At 36.2% G+C, this 6599-nt stretch overlaps 1 annotated feature.

Annotated features, from left to right (window-relative positions):
• Window positions 3667-4332: an enhancer, noted in NCBI's record as "NANOG hESC enhancer chr1:198392710-198393375 (GRCh37/hg19 assembly coordinates)". NCBI's record gives its function as "activates a minimal SCP1, AML or CMV promoter by ChIP-STARR-seq in naive H9 embryonic stem cells {active_cell/tissue: H9 hESC(naive)}" and the evidence as "EXISTENCE:reporter gene assay evidence [ECO:0000049][PMID:30033119]".

Raw genomic sequence — 6599 nt, 5'->3', positions numbered from 1 at the left:
TTAACCCACTATAGATGCTCTTTCCTAAAATATACCAAATCAAGACAGAAAGTGTAGTGTCCCTACATAACACCTGACATCTATAGTTGGAAAATGTTAGATAAGTAACATTTTATAGCTCCAATTTTGAAAGTCAGTTGGAATCTGAATAAGTAGAAGATATAAACCATCCATATGTGTTATACTAAAACCTTTTAAATACTTTCAAAAGTTAGCAGGTATTCAAAGTTTGCCAGTTAGAATTGTAATGGTGATTTTTTAAAATAGAAGTAAAGTGTTTACAGTAGTAGGGCTCGGGAACTATTACCTAAATTGATGTTCCCATTCAATAGGTCACAGTCAGGATATTTGGTAGATGTGAGCTCTGTTCACTGATAACCAAGTCTCCTTTCCTTCTGGACAAATAAGAAGAATATACATCCCTTCCTCCTGGAAGTTAAGCATGGCAAAACTGATAGGTATCACTCCCAGGAAAAAAATTTCAATTGTTGGCACTTAACTCTGTACCCCACTTTTTCTCTGCCATGAGTATTGGAAAATTGCATCGCTAAGGAAGGACAATACTGAGCCATCACATAGAAGACAGCTCAGCTGCCTGGAGAGTTCTCGAGGCTCATAGTAGACTTTGTATGAAACAGAAATCTTCATACGATAAGCTATTGAAATATGAGTTCTTGGCTTTTACAGCCTAACCTAATCCATGCTGACTAAAACAGTTATTTATGCTAGGATTGGATGCTGCTATGAAAAAAAAAAAAATCTCTAAAACATGTGGCATACACTTAGCGGTTGACCCTATAGGGCATGGGGATTGTGAATGGCCACCCCCCGTGGAGGCTATAAAGTGGCAATTAGTCATATGCAATGGCAAAGCATTTGGTAATATTATTACCTATGAAAATTTATAAGACAGATCTTATGCAAAATAAACTATTGCACTAAGAGAAAAACTAAAAAACAAAATCAGAGTGTCTGGGCATTGATGTTGTCTGCAATTGGCAAGGTATAATAAAATAGAAAAAGAGACAGTCTCAGAAAATAATAGATGAGTTTGCCATCAGGAATAAAAAGAAGTAGAGGTGTACAAAAATTTGAGGACTAGTGGGATTAGAAAAAGAAAAAACTCAGCTACAAAAGAACAAACGATAAAACTGAGAATGACTTTTGCGAAACAAAAAGAAGAAGTCTAAGCCTCAAGGCAAGGATCTAACCAAGGGTATTGGTACCACACCAAGTTAAAACTTGGGAATGGATTAACATGTCTCAGAATAAAGATATAATTTAAAGTAGAGGCCCCATCCAGCCTTTCAACTGGACAAAAATAGTTAAGGAAAAGAGACTAGGTGTATGACTCTGACACTGAACTTCAATAGATTTACTGGACAAGCAACTGCAAACACAAAAAGAGAGGAAGAGAGAGCATGAGAGCAAATATTCTAGGAATTAAACATTGAGAAAACTTGTGGGCATGGAATTGGTACATGGAGCTGTGCAGAATCAAATAGCTGAGAAGCCTATAAAACCTTTGAAAGAAATTCACTGCTAAAGAAAAGCCCTTGACTGGACTCAAAGAGATTGTGGCTATGTGAGACATAAAATCACCTTGGTACTTAACACTCCTCAGGCAGGCAATGAACTAAGAAAACTGCTTATTCCTCAAGAGAGACTTTTCCCCAGTGCCTATTACAGATGTGACGAAGTAGCATAAAAGATGAATTGATCCTTCTACAGTGTAGAACCAGGAGTCACCAAGAACAACAGACTGGGATTCTCTCCTCCCAGGAAACAGAAATGAGGCTTAAACAAGGAACATTTCCCACTCCCAGTAAAGACATTCCTCACAATGATTGTCGCCCCCAGCAGCTTGACTAAATTACCACACTTGAGTAACTGTGAGTTTCTGAATTGTCCTTATTCCTTTATATTCTACTGATTATGAAGGGAGAAAATAACTTTTGTCTCCATATCAAAGGTGTCCCATTCTTACCTGACTTCCAGGTACTACACAGACATCTTGGACTTCATGCTGTATGAAGAGCTTGCATAAGACTTTTAGAGGGTTGCTCTTATGGAGGGATTGAATGTAGGATTGGGAAACAAAAGAGGAAAGAATATTTGGTTATCAGAAGAGTAGTCTATGGCTGACTTTACAACTGTTTATCAATACCAATTCCTTCTCCTTTCAGGTATACAAGATAATCTTATTCACTTCCAGAAGTAAGATGTGACCTCTCGACTTGCCTTGGCTAATTAAATTTGAGCAGAAATGATGTGTGTCAGTCCTGAATAGAAGCATTTAATTGTAGGCACTTGATTTTCTAATGTCTTTTGCCTGCCCTGACAATTTTAGAGGCACATATTGGTAGAGATGCCATGCTAAGCAATCAAATGGCAGAACACTGCTCTGTAGAGTCTCCTAGACCCATGGAAGAGTGAAATAAGTGAGACTTCTTTTCTGTCTTAAGCCACTGAAATTTCTTTCTTTGTTATTGTGGCATAATTTAGCCAATCTCAATTAAATCAAGATGAATACCAAAATCTGAATAAATGTGTTTCCCAGTTTTCTAGCTTCTTGTTGTTATTGAACTCATTTTCTAAAGAACTGTTATACTTTTAAATAAATTATCTAATAGGTAATGTAACACATTGTAGTTTTAACCTGATAGTTTGCAATATGGTACATTATTTTATATCTGGTTAATATTTCTTTAAAAATAAGAGTAATTTCAACCATACTAAGAGCAAATTGTTTGATTAAAAATGAACAATTGCATTCTAAATCATTCTGATAAGTAGTGTTCTCCCTCATTAAAAAGAAAAAATTGTAGCTACTTGGGAGACTGAGGCAGGAGGATCACTTGAGTCCAGGAATTTGAGGTTGCAGTGAGTGATGACCGTGCCACTGCACTCCAGACTGGTCCACACAGGGAGACTCTGTCTCAAAAATAAATAAATAAACAAATAGGGAAGAATAATACTTTCAAGTGATTTAAAAAAAATATGCTTGGAACTTCAGTGTCATTAGCATATCGGCATTTCCTTTTAGCATAAACGCATCTATCTTAAAACCCAGGCATTTTACTTGATCTGGGGAGTGAAAAAGTTCTGTAGACCAAGAAAATTACTTAGCTATGAAATATGTGATAAATGCTTCGACAGTTCTGTATTTGCCCCCAGCTATAAAATATATTTCTTCTCCTCCCCAACTCTGCTGTCACTTTGAAAACCATCCAATAAATTGGTCATACCTATCATAGTTACTTCTAGGCAAGCGAGAGAGAGAGAGTGAGAGAGAGAAAGACATAATTTCTTGAATTTAGATCAGAGTACCTTTGCCTGGAACCAATTAATTCTTTAAAGCCACATTAACCCTCTCCAAGGCCAAATAGGAAATGCAAAATACCTTCTTACTGGTGTAAGTATTTGAAACAAACCTCCTGCAAAGTCATTGTTGTCAGAATGTCCTACTATCAGAAAGGGTAGATTCTGCAGTATCTTGCCAACAAAGAAAATTCTCCATAATATTGTTTACTACAGAAAGCTTAGCTGCCACTGTTTAGCTGAAGCCAAGAACTTTGTCAATTACTCTTTAGCTTATCCATGAGTCTGTGGGCATAATCAATAGTACACATTCTAGTTATAGTTATATTTTTAGGCAAATTACCTATGGGACCTACCAGTAGCTACCTACTAGTACAGGTTTCCAACATCCCCCAGTGGTAAACCAAGAGAGCTCCCAGAAGAAGGGTATTTACACCTTTAAGGACAGACTTATCTTGAAGGCTCACATATGGATCACAAATTGCCAGGCGTACATGCGTACACTGGGTCTACTGTGGGCCATACAGAATCACGTCCCAGTCCTTTGATTATGTACTGTCTTGTCCCTGTCTGGATGACTTTTCAGAAGCTGACAGAGCTTTTACAATTTAATTGGTGTTGACACCTTTTGAAGCCATGCCTTGAGGCACTAAGGGTCATTGTCTGCTTTCTCTGTTTCTCTCCAATGCCTCCACTTGGCTACCTTGCAGCCTGTGGTGCCTGGCTGGCCCCTGCACTTTTTATTCATGTTCATACTTGTTCTGGGTCCTGTTACAAGAGCCCTTGTTAAATGCCCAGCAGGCAGCAGTGAATGGAGATTTTGACTATGTGGGATTTGAGGCCTCTGGCAATAATGGAGAATAAACTATAAATACAAATGTATCCCTGTTGTGGACTGTGTTGTTATCACCAAAGATTTATTCCAGAGGACCTCAGACCTAAGTTACTTTCTGTGCATGCTCGAGGCTGTAGGCCTTACAATTAGGTTTCTGCTTTCCATTCTCAGGATTCTCTAACTATGACTTTTCCTCTATCATTATTTCCAATTTGGTATCTTCTTCCTTCTTTTAGAAACAATCTCTTATAGCAGTTGTAGGAATATCGTTATGATTCTGACTTGCCTTCCAACTTTGTTATCTCAAAGTTTAAGAACAAAACAAAGGGTGAATTCTACATTGTTTTTCAGATTCAGTTCTGCAAAAGAGTGTTTTCCCCCCAAGAGTCATGTTTAACAGGCAACTTAGTGACAGGCTGAATAACTGTCATCTTTTATAGAGGTTTACTTAATTTGCTATGTGAAAAAAAAAAAATCAAAATTTCCAGTCAGTGTTATCAACTACCTATAAAATTGCAGATGATCAAAAAATTACTTATTCACAAGTTCTACTAAAAACCTTCTTTCTATGAAAGTATTAAGATCTCTAGAAAGGCTTTTGTTTCCTCTTACCTGATTGTCAAATTTATATGGTCTATAGTAAATATAATAAACCAGATGCTTATATTTTTTAAAAGTAGATAAAGAAGGTATATCAACTTTTATAGTGATTGCTGTTTTAGAAGATAAAATATATTAGAGAGAAAAGTGTATTCTGAAAATATTTGCATAGATGATTTTATAAAATAACATAAATTAAATAAAGCACTAACTTCAATGTTCATATTTTTACATAATCCAAATCTACTGACTTTTCAGGTCATTAGAAGAATCAAGTCATAAACAAAAATATTAATGATTTTAGTAATAATTTTCCAGTGAACTTTATAACTAATTTCCTCCAAATATAAACATATTATGAGAAAATTCACAAGAGGCATGATTTCTGTTTGATTATATTGCCAACACAAGATTAAGGCTGAGATCCTTTGTTTTGACAAGAAATAATTAAATTCCCACAAAACTAAAGAGACAGCAAAATAAAAATGAGCCCAAACCATGAGAAAGGATAACTTACCTGGACAAAGAGACATTTGAAGGACAAGTTCATCTTTCCACCTGTGAAAACTCTTACAAATGAAAGACAACCTGCTTTTCTTCCAGTACACCAAGGCCAGGGAAAGATGAAACTATTTCTAGTTATACTTAGTAACAAAAGCAACATTAAAAAAAATATGAATTTACTAATAGTGAGGAATAAATGGTAATAGAGTTCATGCAGCTGAAAGTGGAGATGTGACTCTGGTATTTAACTTTCTGCAGTATGTCAGCTATGGAGGAGACAGAGAAGAATCGTTGTTAGTCTGTGTCAAGGGCGAGGTTTCTCATTGCCATTTTTGTTAAGTTCTGTGATTTGAGGAAATTACTGAACTCTGCAGTTCAGTCTGTTCATCTGGGAAACAGAAGTTGACTTGCCTAGGTCGTTGTAATGTGTCAGTAGATAATAGATATGCCAGAACCTACGATAGAGCAATGAAACTAATGGCTTGTTATGATTTCATTGGATTTTTGTTCTTTTGGTTTTATTTTTGTGGTCTTTGTCTGTTTGCTGCTGTTTTGAGATGTGACACAATAATTTAGCTTTTGTACCACTGAAGGCTTCATATGTTTTGGGATTAAAACTCACTCATAGGTGGGAATTGAACAATGAGAACACATGGACACAGGAAGGGGAACATCACACACTGGAGCCTGTTGTGGGGTGGTGGGCGGGGAGGGATAGTATTAGGAGATATACCTAATGTTAAATGACGAGTTAATGGGTGCAGCACACCAACATGGCACATGTATACATATGTAACTAACCTGCACGTTGTGCACATGTACCCTAAAACTTAAAGCATTAAAAAAAAAGATCCTTTACTATAGCTTCCAAACAAAACAAAAACAAACAAACAAAAAAGTCTAAAACATTTTCTATAGCTGGTATGTCCTTCTGGAAGATCTGAAGAAAATCACTGGGACACCCATCAGAAAACCATAATTCTGGGTTGGACTTTACCAGTATATATTGTGGGGGAAGTAATTTTAGGCATTACTTCAGAGGTATAACTATAAACCCTTGTTATGAAAAAGCCTACATGAAAAGGAAAGGAATCTCCAGAGAAGAAAAAAACTTTAAAAATGCCAGGTATGCAATTATGAATAATGAAATACTTATAGCTTGATATTGAAAGAAATATACCATATCTGGAAAAACAGAATTACATATAAATAAATCAAACCAATAGGACTCTCTGATGTAGTCTCAACTCCAGGATAAATAACAATGTGGTGCCATTTATATAGCCATTCATCATATTCCTTTCACTGCCTATTTCCAGGTCTTGTGGCTGGGGATGTT

This window comes from Homo sapiens, chromosome 1 (assembly GCF_000001405.40).
Source record: "Homo sapiens chromosome 1, GRCh38.p14 Primary Assembly".
Classification (NCBI taxonomy): domain Eukaryota; kingdom Metazoa; phylum Chordata; class Mammalia; order Primates; family Hominidae; genus Homo; species Homo sapiens.
The sequence above is the reverse complement of the archived record's forward strand: the minus strand, read 5'-3'. Positions and strand labels throughout refer to the sequence as shown.